The sequence below is a fragment of the Homo sapiens genome, chromosome 17 (genome assembly GCF_000001405.40).
Source record: "Homo sapiens chromosome 17, GRCh38.p14 Primary Assembly".
In the NCBI taxonomy this organism is placed as follows: Eukaryota; Metazoa; Chordata; class Mammalia; order Primates; family Hominidae; genus Homo; species Homo sapiens.
This window is the reverse complement of record NC_000017.11, coordinates 28,319,200-28,337,371: the sequence shown is the minus strand read 5'-3', so window position 1 is coordinate 28,337,371 and position 18,172 is coordinate 28,319,200. Positions and strand designations below refer to the sequence as shown.

The 18,172-nt window shown below is 46.8% G+C and overlaps 3 protein-coding genes across 9 annotated transcripts in view, besides 6 other annotated features; 1 reads left to right on the top strand and 2 right to left on the bottom strand.

Moving 5' to 3' along the window:
- The window catches only part of TNFAIP1 (TNF alpha induced protein 1), an 11,249-nt gene extending 9,638 nt beyond the window's left edge, over positions 1 to 1,611 (bottom strand). For both annotated transcript variants that reach the window (XM_017024993.3, NM_021137.5), the window contains exon 1: positions 1,516 to 1,611. The gene's annotated coding sequence lies outside the window, so the exon portion shown is untranslated. The remainder of the gene's footprint in view (positions 1 to 1,515) is intronic.
- Positions 1,469 to 1,518: a silencer, noted in NCBI's record as "silent region_8335". NCBI's record gives its function as "represses an Ori minimal core promoter by ATAC-STARR-seq in GM12878 lymphoblastoid cells {active_cell/tissue: GM12878}" and the evidence as "EXISTENCE:reporter gene assay evidence [ECO:0000049][PMID:35858748]".
- Positions 1,559 to 2,088: an enhancer, noted in NCBI's record as "active region_11923". NCBI's record gives its function as "activates an Ori minimal core promoter by ATAC-STARR-seq in GM12878 lymphoblastoid cells {active_cell/tissue: GM12878}" and the evidence as "EXISTENCE:reporter gene assay evidence [ECO:0000049][PMID:35858748]".
- Positions 1,559 to 2,203: a biological region, named in NCBI's record as "ReSE screen-validated silencer GRCh37_chr17:26662195-26662386".
- Positions 1,900 to 9,046, top strand: IFT20 (intraflagellar transport 20). Of its 6 annotated transcripts, none has more exons than NM_174887.4 (6): positions 1,900 to 2,032; positions 5,385 to 5,513; positions 6,844 to 6,929; positions 7,144 to 7,261; positions 8,096 to 8,199; positions 8,639 to 9,046. In NM_174887.4, exons 2-6 carry the CDS (start codon positions 5,387 to 5,389, stop codon positions 8,648 to 8,650), a joined length of 447 nt encoding a protein of 148 aa, NP_777547.1. In that variant the 5' UTR covers positions 1,900 to 2,032; positions 5,385 to 5,386; the 3' UTR covers positions 8,651 to 9,046. The 6 variants fall into 6 exon arrangements, with proteins under 6 accessions (NP_777547.1, NP_001254706.1, NP_001254704.1 ...); NM_001267777.2 differs by lacking the exon at positions 7,144 to 7,261 and adding an exon at positions 5,191 to 5,226 and having other exon boundaries at positions 8,715 to 9,046; NM_001267775.2 differs by lacking the exon at positions 7,144 to 7,261 and adding an exon at positions 5,191 to 5,226.
- Positions 2,012 to 2,203: a silencer, noted in NCBI's record as "fragment chr17:26662195-26662386 (GRCh37/hg19 assembly coordinates)". NCBI's record gives its function as "represses an EF-1alpha promoter that drives an FKBP-Casp9 reporter gene in an ReSE screen in K562 erythroleukemia cells {active_cell/tissue: K562}" and the evidence as "EXISTENCE:reporter gene assay evidence [ECO:0000049][PMID:32094911]".
- On the bottom strand, positions 8,687 to 18,172 carry TMEM97 (transmembrane protein 97). Its single transcript, NM_014573.3, has 3 exons — positions 18,007 to 18,172; positions 11,725 to 11,869; positions 8,687 to 10,838 (listed from the first exon to the last, which is right to left on the bottom strand). The coding sequence occupies exons 1-3, from the start codon at positions 18,130 to 18,132 to the stop codon at positions 10,579 to 10,581; spliced, it is 531 nt and encodes a 176-aa protein (NP_055388.2). The 5' UTR covers positions 18,133 to 18,172; the 3' UTR covers positions 8,687 to 10,578.
- Positions 10,154 to 10,203: an enhancer, noted in NCBI's record as "active region_11922". NCBI's record gives its function as "activates an Ori minimal core promoter by ATAC-STARR-seq in GM12878 lymphoblastoid cells {active_cell/tissue: GM12878}" and the evidence as "EXISTENCE:reporter gene assay evidence [ECO:0000049][PMID:35858748]".
- Positions 18,049 to 18,108: an enhancer, noted in NCBI's record as "active region_11921". NCBI's record gives its function as "activates an Ori minimal core promoter by ATAC-STARR-seq in GM12878 lymphoblastoid cells {active_cell/tissue: GM12878}" and the evidence as "EXISTENCE:reporter gene assay evidence [ECO:0000049][PMID:35858748]".

The following is an 18,172-nucleotide window of genomic DNA, read 5'->3' as shown; positions in this document are numbered from 1 at the left end:
GCTGGTGCACAGACAGTAGGGGGAAGTTGGTTTGATGTCAAGTCAGGGAAGGCAGGCGTTAGATGATAACAAAGGTGGATTTCATACTAATTGCTATATAGTATATGAATCAATTGGAGGGTTGCAAGCAGGGGAGTGATATGATCTGACTTGCTTGTAGTGTATTTTGAAAAGATAACTTGCTGCTGGGTAGAGAATGAATTGTAAAGGTGCAAGAGAGAAAGTGGGAAGACCAGAGGAAGCAGTAGTCTAGGCAAGAAGAGATGATGGCAGCCTGGACCACATTGGTAATAATGGAGACAGAAAAAAAGTGGAATGATTTCACCGAATGCTCATCACATGCAGGAGTTTACAGTTGCTCATGCCTTGTAAGTGCAACCCAGAAGCAGGGCACTGGTTTCCCAAGTTTACCGCTGTGTTCCCCTAATGGTGCTCAGCACAATGCCATGCACATTTTAAGTATTTAACATACGTCAGTTTGTTAGACTGAAATTGTCCCTGAAAAGATTTAGGTAAGTCCCTGGGAAGAATGTCCAAGGAAGTGGACAGCCAGCGTGGGTGCTGTGTGAAGCAGTGAATTCCTTTGGCGGCTTGTCTGGGAGACTCTTTCATTTGCCACAGGGGTTGGGTATGGGAGGTGAGCCCTCACCAGGAGGTTGCCAATGACTAAGAAACACTAGAATGGTATGAGATCACCTTCCCTTTTCCCGCCCACCTCAAAGGAATAAATCCACCTCTCTAACAGGTATTAGCAAGTTCCCTGTGTATTTTGTGTCTAGTCCTAGTTTTCCCAGGATCAGAGAAAGCACACATACATGTTCTGCCAATGCAAAGGAGCTCAAAGGATAGGCCTGCCAAGAGAGGTCGGCGGATCCAGAGCTAATCTCTTCCTTTCCTACAAAGCAATTGCTTTGAGCCCCTGGATGACGTCAATCACATTCCGCCCAGACCAATGGGTTCCAGGAATTCTGTGGCAGGTGACGCCCCAGAAAGTAATTCCAGTGAGAATGAAGTTTCCACTGATAGCCACAGTGCTCTTCCTTCCGCACTTTGTGTGTGGATATTTGGGGATGCCCGGGGCTAAGGGCGGATCCGTGGCTCACGCAACGAAGCTAATGGGAACCCAAGCACAACAAAGGGCAAACAGCCGCGGAGGTGGAAAGAGGAGGGGTCTAAAAGGAAGAAGGACCCAGAAATCCGTCAGACACGGAGGACGGCGGGAGGAAAGCTGAGGGCTAGAGTGGCGGATCTAGCAGAAACCCTAGGTGTAAAGGTTAAGCGTCACCCAAAAAGTCCTGGGAAATGTGGCCGGTGTGGGCTCTTCTCTAGCCCGGACCACTCCTCACTACCGAGAAACCCACACCGGTTCTCACGCCCACCCTCCGTGGGAGATCGGAGCTCTCCATCTCCCCTACGCCGCCCGCGCCTTTTCCCCCAGGACCCGGCCGGGCTCGCTCTACTCCAGCAGGGGCCGTCCATCCCTTCCCCGAGGGCATCGGCGGGCCCGGCTCTCACCGTCCCCGGGGGCGCCTCTCCTCTCAGCTGGGTGGCCAGCGGACTCCGAGCCGCCCCTAGCCTGCAGCCGCCTGCCCCTCAGCAGTCCCAAGCTGTGAGCTCACATCCTGCGCTCGTCGACTCCGCCCGGAGTGCTGCCCAGCCCAGCCGGCTGGGGAGCCTGAGACTACAAGTCCCTGCATGCATAGCGCTCTATCCGGGAAAGGGTGGAGGCGGAATCCCCCGAGGGTCTTCGCGGAGAGAGCAGAGCTACTTCTGGCCGCCTTGCCGGCGCTAAGGCTTCTGGGTCTTGTAGGCCGGGCCTCCCCTCGGGCCTCTGTTTCCCAGCAGGCTCTGTGGAATGGGGGCTGTAAGTGCTTCCGGAGTCAGGAAGGTAGTGACGTCATAGGTAAACAGGCTCTGTATCCGTGGCAGCGGCCGTGGCAGGCTGGCTGGGTACCGGCTGTCGCTGACCCAGGAGAAGCTGCCTGTCTACATCAGCCTGGGCTGCAGCGCGCTGCCGCCGCGGGGCCGGCAGGTAGGCTGACCTCGGGTCGGGGGACGCGGGCGGACCAGGGGCGAGAGGAGCCTGACAGGCCCGCGTCCTGAGGAAAGGCAGTACCGGGCGGGGAGAGACGTGGGAATTCCGCCCCACTCTCAGGGGGGCGCTTTCACACCCAGCTTAGGCCTGGAGTTTGATGCGTTGATGCTTGCCACGATCTTACGAGGAAACTGCGGCTCGGATAAGTTCGGGGAGTTTACATAGTAAAGAGTCGGCTCGCAGTGCCTCGCATGCATCTGGGAGAGCCGGGGCGCAGAAAGTATGCCACCGCCTCATGCTCAGGGAGCTTAGTCCCAGCTCTTGGGCCAGGTGTTGCTCAGATGCTCAGACACGCGTGTGATGGGAGTTGGTAGATAATCTGTGAACTCTTTCCCTGCACCTCTTCTTCCATCTTACCTATCTCTTTAAGCCAGCCCTTCCAATCAGATAGGTGGGCCAAGCCAGATTCATGGGAGTCATGCCTGACTTGTTTTTCTCTTATCCCCAAACCCCCACATTCAGTCAGTCCATTGCTAAGCCCCATCACCTCGACTTACAAAACATCTCAACTCGGAACACTTGTGTTCGGCTGCCAGCCTTGGTTACTGCAATAGTCTCCTGTTTCCACGGTCATTCATTCCACAAACATTTACTGAGTGCCAGTTATGTGTGGGCACCATGCTAGGTGCTAGGGTTAGAGTGATGAACAAGAAGGTACTTGGGGCTTTGCCCTCTCTTGTTCCCTCCAATCGGTTCTCTCAGGCTGAGCAAGAGTGATCTTTCTAAGTCTGATTTTGTTGGTCTGCTGAGAACCCGCTGGCTGTCCCATTACCCTTCTGATAAAATCCAAGCTCATGACTGCGTCTTTCAGAGCCTTCGGTGATCCAGCTGTTGTCTCCCTGTCTAGCCTCATTCTGTTCCCTTCTCTTGCTCAGTCTCTGTTCTCGGAATGCATCAAATTTCCTGTTGCCTCAGGATCTTCACATACGTGTTTCCTTCTGCCTGCAATGCCTTGCTTCCCCTTTCACTTGACATACTTTTGGACAGTCTTTAGGTCTGTTTAAGTGTCATTTTTTTCAGAAGGCCTCTGTTGGCCCTCCCCTCCAAGTCCGCCCCCCATGAACTGTGTCCTCCTGCAGCACTTCACACAGCACCATGTACTTTTCCTTATAGTAATATCACGATTTGTGATTATTTCTTTACCATCTGTCCAGAGGCATTGTTTTCACTAGTCTGTCCCCAGAGCAGGGACTGAGTGGATGTTTCTGAATAAATGCATGCTCTCAGGGAAGGGGGTGGAAGTTGAAGCAGATATTTGCTCCCTCATGTTACTTCAATCTTTCTGGAGCAGCTGGTCAGATTAATGACCTGTAGCTGCGAAAGACAGATTTTTTGGTTTTTTTTTTGAGACAGGGTCTCACTCTGTTGCCCAGGCTGGAGTGCAGTGGTGTGAACACGGCTCACTGCAGCCTCCACCTCCTGGGCTTAAGCGATCCTCCCAGCTTACCCTCCCAAGTAGCTGGGACTACAGGCACCTGTCACCAGGTCTGGCTATCTTAGAAATCTTTTGTAGAGACGGTATTTTGCCACATTGCCCAGGCTGGTTTCAGACTCCTGTGCCCAAGTGATCCTCCCACCTCAGTCTCCCAAAGTGCTGGGATTACAGGCATGAGCTACTGCACTGGCCAGATCTTTTTAAAAAGCCCTATTTTAAGGAAGCTACAGATGAACAAAATGCTTCAAAAGGATGATGCTAGCTCACTTACATCAGTGGATTCCAGTGAGGCCAAAGGCCAGAGTCGTCTACAGACAGCTCATAGACATGTATTAGTTGGCCCATGCAGTGTTGGATGTGGGTTTTCCCCCTTACTTAAAATTTTTGGATTACATACCAACATTGAGGTACTGGATTTCTGGTCATCTTAAAAACCAGAAGTTCTGGAAACAGTGAGACTTGATTATTTTCCAGCCATTGCTCCTCCTTGGCACACCTGCCCTGGACAGCCAACCCCAGAATCACCCCATTCAGAACAGGACTTCTCTAAGGAAGCCAGAAGGGAAACAGCTGAGGCTGGGGGCAGTGGGGGCAGAGGGAAGGGGCTGGTGCAAGTCCAGGTGATGGTAGACTTTGGAGCACCTGGGTTTTAGAATTGGCATAGCAGCCAATTGCTAGATGTAAGTAGCATTGCCTCCCTTTTTAAACAGGTCATAAAGATGTCTATGTTTAATTGTGTGTGTGTGTGTGTGTGTGTGTGTGTGTGTGTTTTGAGCCAGAACAAGAGTGAGTTTTCAGTATTTCCTTCCTAGAATTGAGGCATCCTTTGGAACAGGAATGCAAGGTGGCTTGGTAAGGGAGAAGATATCTCTGTTAGTTCTCTGTTGCCTACAGAAAAAATCCAAACTCCTTAGCTTGGCATGCAGGGTCTTCCTGGTCTGGCTCCAGCTCACCTTTCCAGCTCCATTCTTTTTCCTCTCGTCCTTAGGTGAGATAGGTCCTTTCAGTGACTTCAGGCCTTTGTCCATGCTGTTTTCTCTGCTTGGAATACCTATCCCTGTTCTCCTGCCTTGATATGTTCTTGCTGATACTTCATTCCTTTTTGTGTTTTCTGCTAGGAAGAGAATGACCCAACTTTGATTCCCAATTCAGGCAAGCATACGTTTTGAGTAATATTCTTACTCCTGACTTTTTATTTTTTAACCATAATTTTTAATTTACTCGGATTTCCTTTATTTGGTTTTTGTGTTGTTCCAGTATATGTATTTGAGAAGCCTTTTCATGTGCTTTTCAGTACATAACTGGTGATATATAAAGTAAATACACTGATGGCTTACAACTTAGTTCACATGTCACTCCTTCATTAATGGCTCTGTCCTCCTCTGGCTCTTTACTGATGTTTCTAAACAAGCATTTAACGCAGTGTGGTTTTTCAGTTTCCGTGTCTGTCTTCTTCCAGCTGAACTATGTGCTCTTCAGGGCGGGCACCGTGTTGCATTCATCTTTGTACCCCCAGCATCTAGCAGTGTTGGCATGTAGTAGGCACTCAAGAAATGTGTGTTGAATGAACGATGCCTGTGACAAGCAAGCGGACTTTATTCTTTCCTGACCCTTGCTCCTATGACACACCTCCTCCTGACTGCCACTGTCACTCCTTCAGAGCAGAACTCCTCTAGGGAACCTGGATGGGAAACAGGTGAGGCTCAGAGAGGTGGTGGCAGAGGGAACGGGGATCCTTTGGAACACCTGGGTTTTTGGCATTGGTGTCCAAGGGCAGGAGTGGGGCTGGCTTGGCAGCAGGCATTTCCTTGGGTGGCTGGGAAGTGATGAGGAATTGGGCCTGTTTCTTTACAGCCATGGCCAAGGACATCCTGGGTGAAGCAGGGCTACACTTTGATGAACTGAACAAGCTGAGGGTGTTGGACCCAGAGGTTACCCAGCAGACCATAGAGCTGAAGGAAGAGTGCAAAGACTTTGTGGACAGTGAGTATTGGGGAGATACAGTGCCACTCAGCTTTGAGCTGCCATTTCAACTGTACCCCAGGCTCATCTTGGCCCTGCCACAGTGGAGCTGCTGGCTCCCTGGAGGTTGAATCTGGCGTCTGTGAGTTCCCACGTGCCACCCTTTTCTGTCTGCCCTCTTGTGCTCTCATGTGTCCCCAACAGGGCACCAGTCAAACCAAACACCGGGATGGGGAGGGGAGGGTGTCTTTAGATATGCCATCTTTCATTTCTTGCTCTTAGAAACCTTAAACTTTCTGGGAACACAACCATGGCTTGGGTGTGGGAAATAGAATTATGTACTCATGATTTGATTTCTTCAGAGAAAGTCTTCTCAGGGGCAGGTTCTCTGTTATTTGGAGTTAGAAGTGATAGGTGAAGTTTCTAGAAGCAGCTCAACAGACTTACTGAAGTCATCTTTTGGCTGGAAATCTTCAGGAAGCCTCCTGTCCCAGCAGCCAAGCAAGCCCAATGCCCGTACAGAGCCAGATCTAGCTAGAACAAGGGACTTCTGAGCTTTCTGGGGGGTTTCCTAGGTTGTGGAGAGAGCTTGGTTAGTGAAAGGTAGCTTGGGTTCTGTCACTAACCTGTGATTGCTGTGCCATGCACACACCTCTCTGGGCCTTAGTTTCCCCTCAGTAAATTGTCACATCCAGGACATTGGAGAAAGTGAGTGGGAGATTAGGCACTTAATGCTGTGAGCTTGCTTTTTTGTGGTTACAAGTGGGAAGCCCCCATCCCCACTGTTAATTGAAATCTGGTGTCATACCTGTAGCTAGTCCAGAGGCAGCGCTTGTGTCCTGAGGCTGCCCTTTTGTGAACAACAGTGCTTCCTGTCACTCCTGGGGAAGCAGGGTTGGGGTCTGTCTGGAGAATGAGCCCAGCAAGGGCCTAGTGCTTTCATAGCCGGAGGTCATAGCGGCTGGCTGGCTCAGTGGGGATGCAAGGTCCGAGTATGCCCTGGTCCAGCTGGCCACCCTTCTCTAGGTTCAGACCAAGGGTAGGAGACAGGCCAACAGGCACCAAAGTGTTTAAGCGACAGGGTCTTGCTATGTTCCCCAGGCTGGAATGCAGTGGCAGTTCACAGGCATGATCACACATCCTCTAACTCCTGGGTTCAAGTGATCCTCCCACCTCAGCCCCCTGAGTAGCTGGGACTACAGTTGCTCTCCACCACGCCTGGCCCACACCGAACTATTTTAACACAAATTAGAAGGGGCAGTCCGCTCTGCCCTCTCACTGCCTTAGCACTCTACCGAAGGGGAGTGATGATACTAAGGAAATATTTTATTTTTTGTTCTTTTCCTAAAAGAAATTGGCCAGTTTCAGAAAATAGTTGGTGGTTTAATTGAGCTTGTTGATCAACTTGCAAAAGAAGCAGAAAATGAAAAGATGAAGGTAAGATCAGCATGTCTTCCGCCTACATCTTGGCCTGGGACCCTAGTTCACTACCCTCTCATCCCTCTTCCCTCTTGATTTATTTAGAGGGGTAGAGGGCTGGGTGGGTGAATTTTTATTTAAGATTTTAATAACTTCTGGTCCACTTAACCTACTGAACTTTTGCCAATCTTTATTTCCTTTAATCTTTATTTTTTTTTTTTTTTTGAGACAGAGTCTTGCTGTGTCACCCAGGCTGGAGTGCACTGGTGCAATCTCGGCTCACTGCAAGCTCTGCCTCTCAGATTCAAGCGATTCTCCCACCTCACCCTCCCGAGTAGGTGGGACTACAGGTGTGTGCCACCACACCCAGCTGAGGTTTTTGTATTTTTTTTTTTTTTTTTGAGACGGAGTTTTCTCTCGTTGCCCAGGCTGGAGTGCAATGGTGCGATCTTGGCTCACTGCAACCTCCGCCTCCTGGGTTCAAGCGATTCTCCTGCCTCAGCCTCCCGAGTAGCTGGGATTACAGGCATGTGCCACCATGCCTGGCTAATTTTGTATTTTTAGTAGAGACAGGGTTTCTCCATGTTGGTCAGGCTGGTCTCAAACTCCCAACCTTAGGTGATCCGCCCGCCTCAGCCTCCCAAAGTGCTGGGATTAAGGCGTGAGTGACTGCGCCCGGCCATTTTTTTGTATTTTTAGTAAAGATGGGGTTTCACCATGTTGGCCAGGCTGGTTGCAAACTCCTGGCCTCAAGTGAACTGCCTACCTTGGCCTCCCAAAGTGCTGGGATTGCAGGTGTGAGCCACCACACCTGGCCTCGTTTCATCTTCATATCAGCACTGATGTAGATGGTCTTATCCTCATTTTATAAATGAAGAAATGAAGGCTTACATAGTATGATTGGTGAAAGGCACAAGGCTGAATGGCACCACCAAATGTGCTATTGTGCCTGTGTCCCTGGCTCTAGGAATACTCCTAGACCTGCCTCAAAGCTGCCGTCTAGTTCTTGAGGCACTTTGTGATCAGTAGGTTAATCCTTCTGACTTAACCCAAAAGCTTTGGGGCTCCACTTTCTTTTCCTCTCTGAAGACTGACACAGCTCCCAGATAACCCCTCCCCACTTTGAGGACTTGATGCTGTAGATGGTTTTAATGAAGCCATGGCCTTCTCTGGCAATACTGTAGGCCATCGGTGCTCGGAACTTGCTCAAATCTATAGCAAAGCAGAGAGAAGCTCAACAGCAGCAACTTCAAGCCCTAATAGCAGAAAAGAAAATGCAGCTAGAAAGGTAAGAAGTCATGATGTAAAGCAAGTTCTTTACACAGCTGAATTTCCACTCTTCCTTCTGGAATGATCACTTCTTGTCCTTATTCTTCATCATTGTTTTCCCAGGAATAGCATCTCACTTGTCATCCTGATTTGAAGATTTTAAAAAATAAAATTACATTTGATGGGAAGGAAATAGAAAACTTGTTAATATCAAACCACCTCTAGTAGTTTGAGCATGAAAGGGTCCACGAAGTTGGCTGGCTCTCTGAAAGAAGACTTTCCTAGGGCTGGAGATTTCTCATGGGTGGCTCTGGGTAGGGCTTTGCCTCTTTCTTTCTTCATTCTGAACTCACACCATTTCTTGAAATCATTTAAACCTCTATATCCTTCTCTAGAAGAATTAGGTCTGTGGTTTACTTCATCTTTTTTTCAGGGCCTCTAACAATTTTGTTTTTCAGGTATCGGGTTGAATATGAAGCTTTGTGTAAAGTAGAAGCAGAACAAAATGAATTTATTGACCAATTTATTTTTCAGAAATGAACTGAAAATTTCGCTTTTATAGTAGGAAGGCAAAACAAAAAAAAGCCTCTCAAAACCAAAAAAACCTCTGTAGCATTCCAGCGGCTTGACCAATGACCTATGTCACAAGAGGTGGCGTGTAAGGAATGCAGCCCCCTGAAGACAGCACTACAAGTCTGGGGGAGCCAGTTTTAACATCAGTGCACAGCTGCTGCTGGTGGCCCTGCAGTGTACGTTCTCACCTCTTATGCTTAGTTGGAACTAAGCAGTTTGTAAACTTTCATCCTTTTTTTTGTAAATTCACAAAGCTTTGGAAGGAGAAGCAATAAATTTTTGTTTTCAAATGGCTTGATGTACCTTTTTTCCTGTTGCTCTTGAAATATGTTTAACTCCTCATGAGAGAACCCTGGATTCTCTATCCCCTAGTCCACAAAACAAACCAGGCAGTGGTCAGCAGCTACCTTTATTTGGATCACACACGTGAGTCAGACAGTACCACTAATCGGGCCAATATGGCTTGTGAGCAAAATGGGTGAAAATAGAGGGAACTGACTGGGACCTGTTGTCTAACATCATTTTAAGGTTGAACTTGAGCAAAGACTTAGAGAAAGCTGATGGAATGCCAAGCATCAACGTGAAGAGACCCTCTATGCACACAGTGGATATGTTATGCCTGGCTGTAGCCACCTTCTCTTCTGAAAACAAGATGGGAATGACGGAACTGTATTAAAAGATTAAGTTATCCACTAGGGAGCATACTAGCACACTTCCAGATCAGCCTTGAGATGCTAGACTTCAGATACAGGGACTTGTGTCAGGTGGCCTCTAGAAATGTGGAAGACTAAGATTTAGAAATAAACTAATTTAAAAGCAAACAAACAAAAAAAACTTTCGCCTAGGATGATCTGTTTACAACAGAAACAAAAACATTTTCCAGTTTAATCCATTTGACTGAAAGTCATTGTTGGGCTGACCCTTAAGGAAAACTTAAGTTTAAACTTCCTTTGCATAGTATGTTTTCTCTTTTTTCCTTGGGTTAGAGGTGGGAACAAGAAAACATTGATATAGTTTTGAATTAACATTAAAGAGGCAAAATTTCACATTTAAAATGGCCCAAAATATCCCACTATTCATTTTGCTGACAGGTGATACACTCTTGAGAATCAGGAGTGGAGGGTTTAGTCATAAGCATATATGCTGTGGGTCAGGTGACTCATGAACATGTCAAACAGGCCATGTTCTTTAGCAGTTTCTGGTCTGGTCCTGCTTTTAGTAATCTTGCGGTGGAACTCAGGCACACAGTTATTTGGTACCACTTCCTTATAACCTAGCCCACACCCCTTTGCCCACCCTCAAGCCGATCGGTCTGTTCATCCCAGTGCCCTTAGAAGGTGAAGGTTTGGGCTGGGCCCAGTGGTTCACGTCTGTAATCCCAGCACTTAGGGAGACTGAGGTGGGCAGATCACTTGAGCCTAGGCGTTCGAGACCAACCTGGGCAACATGGCAAAACCCTGTCTCCACACACACAAAAAAAACAAAACAAATTAGCCATACGTGTTGGTACACACCTGTAGTTCTAGCTACTTGGGAGGCTAAGGAAGATGGCTTGAGCCCAGGAGGCGGAGGTTGCAGTGAGCCGAGATCATGCCACTGCCCTTTACTCCAGCCTGGGCAACAGAGTGAGACTGTCTTAAAAAAAAAAAAAAAATGGAAGAAGGTGAGGGTTTGACATGGTTCCTGACACCATCTTGCTCTTGTGCATTGCTGCCAGTGTTTCAAATGCTGCTGAAGACGTGGGTTCTGAGCAGTGTTCCTTGTATTGTATCCAACAAGCAACCACCCTGTAGGCATCTCTACCCTGGGCCAGTGGTTGTTTCCTTCATTTTTTTTTTCTTTTCTCTTCATACTTGTAGTAGGGGCTCCGCAACATGAAAATTAAAAGTATGAATGGGATGAGTAAGTAGGGGGCATAGACAGACACAAGGGTTAACCGTTCATGCAAAGTCTCAGGTCTTTGTCCCTTGAAACCACTGGCTTTGGAGAAATCCTCAAACAGAAATGTGGAGAGTATCGGAATTAAGGTTGTCATGGTGTGAACAGAGTAGATGATTGCAGGAGTTCGAATCCACTTGCAGCTTCCTGAGGTAGTCAGGGGAAAAGAAAAATGGTTAGGTCTGTTCATGACTCAAAGGTGTCCATGACCTTCCCACTGTCTCTGCCTGCCTGCTTTCTTCTACTCCCTTCTCCAAGTGGAAACTCGGAACTGGAAACCTGGATGTGCCACACTGCCCAACATGCAGACTTACGTGACAGCTCACCGACAGCTCGCCAAAGAACCAAGAATGGGGGTCAGAACATAACTCGGAAAAGCTCTAGGGCAATAAAACTGCCATTACCGGTTAAACCTGTGTGGTACAAAATCCAAGGGGAGGGAAATCCCTGCCCCATGGCATCTGTTTGTTCAGTAATTATATATAGGTGAGAGGATCAGAAGGCAGATTCAGTGACCCCAGGGGGTGCCAATGGGAAACGAGCATTTTCAGTGGTTTTAGCTTATCAAGTACACGTGTATGGTCACCTTTTTAAAAAAGCATTGATTATATGAGAACACTAAGAATAATTTTAAAATGAGAAGCACATTAGGGATTAGCCTGATGCTACAGCTTATAAGTCAGTATGATACTATCCAACGCAGAGAAATAAAAGCCAACAAAAAGAGAAATTAATTCTGTTGGGGAACAAAACAAAAGGGAACAAGCTCATTGTTTAAGTGGTCTCAGGCTTCATGTGTATGCAAGGGATTTCCAGACGACTGAGGCAGCCGTGCAGGCCTGCTGACCACAGACATGAGCCTGAGCCACACTAATGTCCCTTTACAAGATCTACCCTGGCTATTTACCCCAGATCCTGTAGCATTCTCCCACAAACTATGGGGACCATCCCCTTCCCTTTGGAGATACTTTCCCAAAAGATTTCTGGGACCTGATTTCTGAGTAAAAATGGGATTTTCCCACCATTTACCAACCTTTGAGGAAGGCATACGTTGCAATGGGAAAGAAAGGCAGCTGAAACACAAGCTCGCAAAACAGAAAGGACTTAAACCAGGCTGGGGGCTCCTGTAGCAGTGGGTCTTTGAACTCCTTAGCATACCACTTCAGCAGGTTTCTAAACTGAAAAAGAAAACGATCATGATGAATTACAGCCACTTGCCCTCAACAGGCTCGGCGCTAGCTCATTTGAAAATACACTGGAGGAGCCTGTCATTAATTAGCCACCCCCCACTACCCCGGCAGCAGATGGCATGTCCAGCTGGCTTTTGTGACACAGCCTAGGTGGTCATTTAATAAAAACTTACTATCCCTAACTCAAATGTTCCCTTCTCTGAAATTTTCTCAACTCTTCCAGCCCCTTCTTTGTGTTACCCAGAATCTGTTCATAATTCCAAGATAACACATCCAGGTGTGTTGGCCACTGTCAGGAGCAACAATAAGTATCTGGCACTTGGTAGGCACTCAGGGTGTTCGCTGAATGAACAAATGTGACATTTCTGTCAACAATATCATTCTTTGTTTAAAAAAACAAATACACATGAAAACCATCCTGACACTTTCCCTTTTGTAATGGCAACTACACACCAAACTCCTCCAAAGGCCAGATTCCCTCAAATGCAGAAATGAATTGAATTTCCCTCTTCTTTTTGCGGGGTGGGGGTGGGAGTGAAAGGGGAAGTAAATCTAACCTCTGTGGCGATGTAATTTTGGACACTTTAATTCCAATATGACAAACAAGTTCCTTAACTCCCCTAATTCTAATTTTTGGTTTATTTTAGGAGACAGGATTTTAGTGGAAGAACAAACTCTGCCCCAAACTACAAACTACCTAGTAGCTTCTTGGTTATGCAGGGTTTTAGCGTCTCAGTTCTAGCTTGGGCCCCACGCTTGTAATTACCTTGTCAAATAAAAAGGATGCGGATCCATGCTGACCTGGCTACAGGCAGAGAAAAGAAGCAGAGTTTAAGGCTTCCCATCTTGGGCTTTTATAGGAGCCCAAAGCCTAGTGCTCTTGGCTCTATGTGGACTACTAAACGTTTGTCACATTTAACCTCCTAGATGTGGCGCTGCCCTGACACACAGGCCTTCAAAGACAAATAAGTCTTGATATTATGATTAATAAAGGCAACTCCAGGGTAAGAATTTATCTTACTTACAATGGAAAATCCAAGAATATTTTTCCTGTTAATTTTTAATCAAAAGATAAAGCCTCGCTATTGTGAAATAGAAGCCCCACTGCTGCAAGAGCACTTTAAGCAAACATCCAGAAACAAATATCCTGTTAGCATATTATTAATTTCAGAAAGGCTTTGGCTAGATAACCAATTTATTGACCAAAGGATATCCAAATTTGTACTTAATTTGAAATTGAAATTCATAGCAATGCCCTTCGCTTCCTTCTAAGCACTTTTCTGGATGGGAATGTGGTTTGAATAGGATTGAATTGATAAGAAACACAAAGGCTAAGTCACTGTCCCTCTCCAGGGTTCTACTTCCTCATCTGTAAAATGAGCAACTTGGACTAGATGTTTTCTTAAGATCCCTTTTTTGCTTTTTAGATTTTTAAAAATACTGGATGACACTACCTGCTTTAAAAGATTGACTATAAAATTATTATTATTTTTTTTGAGACAGTCTCTGTTGCCCAGGCTGGTGGAGTGTGGTGATTTGATCTCGGCCCACTGCAGCCTCAACATCCCGGGCTCAGATGATTCTGTCACCTCAGCTTCCCCAGTAGCTGGGACTACAGGTATGCGCCACCAAGCCCAGCTAATTTTCTGTAGAGACGGGGTTTTGCCACATTGCCCAGGCTGGTTTCGAACTCCTGGGCACAAGCGATCCTCGCTTCAGCCTCCCAAAGTGCTGGGATTACAGGTGTGAGCCACTGCACCCGGCCTGACTGCAAAATTTAAGAGGCATTCTGGGCCAGGCCCGGTGGCTCATGCCTATAATCCCAGCACTTTGGGAGGTCAAGGCGGGTGGATCACCTGAGGTCAGGAGTTTGAGACCAGCCTGGCCAACATGGTGAAACCTCGTCTCTACTAAAAATACAAAAATTAGCTGGGTGTGGTGGCTCACGCCTGTAATCCTAGCAACTCTGGAGGCTGAGGTTGCAGTGAGCCGAGATCGAGCCACTGCACTCCGGCCTGGGTGACAGAGCGAGACTCCATCTCAAAAAAAAATTAAAAAAAAAAAAAGGCATTCTGGCCATTTGAACTTCACTTTCTATTCAATTTGTTTACAACCTCTCTGATCCAACTATTTCATAAACTGAGGCAGACTTGTACAGCACTTTAATTTCTAAGGCCTACAAGATGAGATCAGCAAAATTTAAAAAACAATCACCCAGATGTCGTAATAATGAATTATCATAATCGTAACCAACCATCTGCCCACAGTCATATACCTGCCACCTGATGCCAGAATGAGGCTGGGACTAATTGTGAGTAGGAGAGTAGAAAGCCCAGGCACCTGGCAGATGGGTGAGGCGTGTAGGACCTGGGGTAGAGTGCCTGGCTTTAGGCAAGGCCTTTAATCTCCCTACACTTGTGTCCCCATCAATAAAATAGAGCCAGTAATAGTGCCTACTTCACTATTGGTAAGAGAGTGACTTAATACATGTAGTCTTTAAAATAATGGCTAGCACATAATGATTAATTGAATGTAATTAATACATATTTGGAGATATTCAAGTTTAATCCCATTAAAATCGCAGCTCACGACTGGTCATTAAAAATTATTAGTTATGGCCTCCCTACCAAAGGTAATGAAACTGTTTCCACTTATACCTGACTCTATTTGACTCAACCCACCCTTGTTATACATAAAAGATTCACCTGGCCTGCACGCACGATCTCTAAACCAGTGGTTGCTACTCACCAATCTTGTACTTCTATAATTTAGAATGGGAACACAGACTGATTTCAGAGCCAGATGCTCACTTGTTTTTCCTTATTTTTACCAGAAGCAATGTTACCCAGCTGCAAATGATACTACAAAATGCTTCCCATCCTCTCCTTACCATGTTCTTATCCAAACTAAATTCTTACTGTTTCATAATAAAATAAGAGTTTTTCCAGGCCAGGCGTGGTGGTTCACACCTGTAATCCCAGCACTTTGGGAGGCTGAGGCATGCAGATCGCTTGAGGTCAGGAGTTTGAGACCAGCCTGGCCAACATGGTGAAACACCATCTATAACAAAATATAAAAATTAGCCAGGCGTTGTGGCAAGCACCTGTAATCCCAGCTATTTGGGATGCTGAGGCAGGAGAATTGCTTGAACCCGAGAGGCAGAGGTTGCAGTGAGCCGAGATTGCACCACTGCACTACAGCCTGGGCGACAAGAGACTGTCTCAAAAACAAAATCAAAAAAAAAAAAGAAAGAAAAACAAAAAGTAAATAAAAAAATGAGTTTTTCCAAGCAGTGATTTGGTGCAATCCAAGAAAAAAAATTTATTGTGCATGTTTCAGCCCAACCACTAGGTGATCTCCTACAGGTTTTTTAACTCTAGGGAAACATTCCTTCTATTTCAGGAAGAAAATGACAGATGTTAAATTTTGGCATTTTTCAAAGAGAATATGAGAATAACTCAAGGCGTTTATTATTATTTGCCCCATAGAGAAGCAACAAAATCAGCATTTCCTACACCAAAGCAACAAGAATGGAGGCACAGACCTTCCATGCCAGGATGCCACCGAGCTAATGCCTTCAAACATCATCACACACACAGATACACACACACCCAGGATGCCCGTGCTAATGCCTAAATCTCACACAAACACACACACACACACACACACACACACACACACACACACACAGGTTCTGGCCAGATGCTGCCTGCACTGGCCCTTGGGCCTTCTGCAGTAAGTCAGCATTAAAAAAATAAAGCTGACGCTGGGCACGGTGGGTCACACCTGTAATCTCAGCACTTTGGGAGCCCGAGGCAGGAGGATGGCTTGAGCCCAGAAGACCAGCCTGGGTAACACAGTAAGACATCATCTCTACAAAAAATAAAAAATTAGCCAGGTGTGGTGGTGTGCACCTATAGTCCTAGCTACTCAGGAGACAGGTGGGAGGATCTCTTGTGCTCAGGTTCAAGGCTGTGGTAAGCCATGACTGCATCACAGCACGCCAAGCCTGGGTGACAAAGGACCCTGTTTCTAAAAAAAAGACTGAGAAAATTTTATCAAATGTAAACATTTAAATGGGATCTTTATGATATGATGCTGAGCACCTTTTAAGTGTATTTTGTTAGGGGTGAGCAAGACGGGCTTGTGAGAATGGCACATCCAGGAAGGATAAAGAAGACAACAGCTGTGAAGTCTGGAATGGCTACATGGAGTAGCAGGCTAATTACCAAGTATTAAAAGGTCCTATAACACCAGAGATTGTAAACAGGCAGCCTGTCTGAGTATTGCTGGCCACACAGGTTTCAAAAACCACAGATAGGCCAACACTGTAGTAGATTTTCCTTTCTTCAGGGCAATTAATGGTTACTGCAGAGCTGCGATGACCTCTTCGGTCTTTGGGAAGAGTCTGTACTCTCTGGCCCTGTAGTAGGCTGAATAATGGCCCCCAAAGATAACCACATCCTAATCCCTGGAACCTGTGACTATTACTTTATTTGGCAAAAGGGACTTTGCAGATGTAATTAAGGATTTTGAAATGGGAGATTTTCTGGGTTATCTGGTGGGCCCTGAATGTATGACAAGTGTCTTTATAAAAGCGAAGCAGAGGGAACTCTGACTACAGAAAGGGAGGCAATGTGATGACCCGAAGCAGAGATTGAAGTGACGTGAACACAAGCCAAGGAACATTGGCAGCCACCAGAAAATGGAAGAGGCAAGAACCAGATTCTCCCCTGGAGCCCTCAGAAGGAGTGAGCCCTGCCTTGATTTGAGCACTGTAAGATTTCATTGTGAACTTCTGGCCTCCAGAACTGTAAACAAATAAATCTGTTAAATCACTACATTTGTGGTAACTACAACAGCAATATGAAAACTAACCCACCCTGTATATGTTTGAGCTTATAATTTAACTCAACTCTCTCAACAGTTGAGGAGGATATAGAGCCCTGACCTGCCCAAGTCACCTCCAGTTCTTGGAAGAACCAAGTCCCCAGACTGCAACTTGCTACACGCTACCTACGCTTTTCCCATGCAAAAGGAGGTCAGAGGTCTTCCAGTTGTGTTTGGTTCTAGAAGCAAACAAAAAAGAGTGACTTATGGGAGTGGTAGAACATTCTTGAGCCGTGGCCTTTTTGGGAGAGTTAGGCCCCTTGAAAAGTCGATGGAAGCTATATTCTCCTTGCAGGAAACAAAAGGCACACACACTTGCACCCATTTTTGGGAGTTCATGACCCTCAGGTAAAGAACCCCTCCTCGGCAGATAAAAAGCATTTAAGGAAAAACAGACGCAAAATAAAATCTTCGGGTAGACAAGTCAGTCCTGCCTACAGTTATAGATAAGATGGAGAAACAAAACTGAGGACAGGAATTCCATGGAAGAAGGTCACAGGGTCCAGATACGAGAAAAAAACCTCAACGAACCGGGAAACTAAAACTATAGCTTTGAAGAAAAAAACAAAGCATTAAAGCAGAGTTTGGGGTTGAAAGAATGCTCTCCAACAACCAGGAAATCGGGATTTTCACCTTTATTTTTACTCAGGAGATCATTGTTACTCGAACCCAATATTGAAGAGCCAATCTGAAAAGATGGCAATTTACTCCTGAGCTCTGGAAGTTGCTGGAACCTGATCTCGAAGCAGTGACGATCTGTGAACGCCCCAGCTGCACCAACCAAGGTGCTAAACCTTCAGACAGGTCTATTTCTACTCGGATTTTTTCTTTGGGATCAGACTGGTATTTTAAAGCCCTTCCAAACAAACAAACAAAAAACCAGAAGCTTAAAGCAAACCTAACATGTGACTTTGGACACCACTTCATCCAGACTACTTCCCTCAGACACTGACAACCGGCCAGAGGTGGAATCGCGGGAAACCTTAAACCCAGGGAAGAAGTGACTTTAAAGGAAACAAAGCGTTCGCCCCCGCCGCTTGGGAGAAGGGGCTGGGATAGAGACAAAGCCCGAGGAAAACACCGAACTAAAGTTGGGTTAGGAGCGGGGGAGGCATGGGCAGGACCCGAGAGAGGCAACTGGAACCCAGAGTGCGCGAGCGCGGAGGAGGTGAAGGCCCTGTGGACGCAGCGCCGGGAGAGCCTCAGCGGGCCGGGATAAGAGGGGCGCCCCTCACCTCGACTGGGTAGAGCTCGCGCGGCAGCACCGCCTGCAGGTCCATGAACAGGGTGATGGGGATGTGGCTGAGGAAGTAGAGGCCCAGCAGCCACTCCACGCAGCGCCTGGTTGCCGGAGCCCCCATAGTCTGTCGGTTGGGCCTGGACCCGCTGATGTGAGAAGAG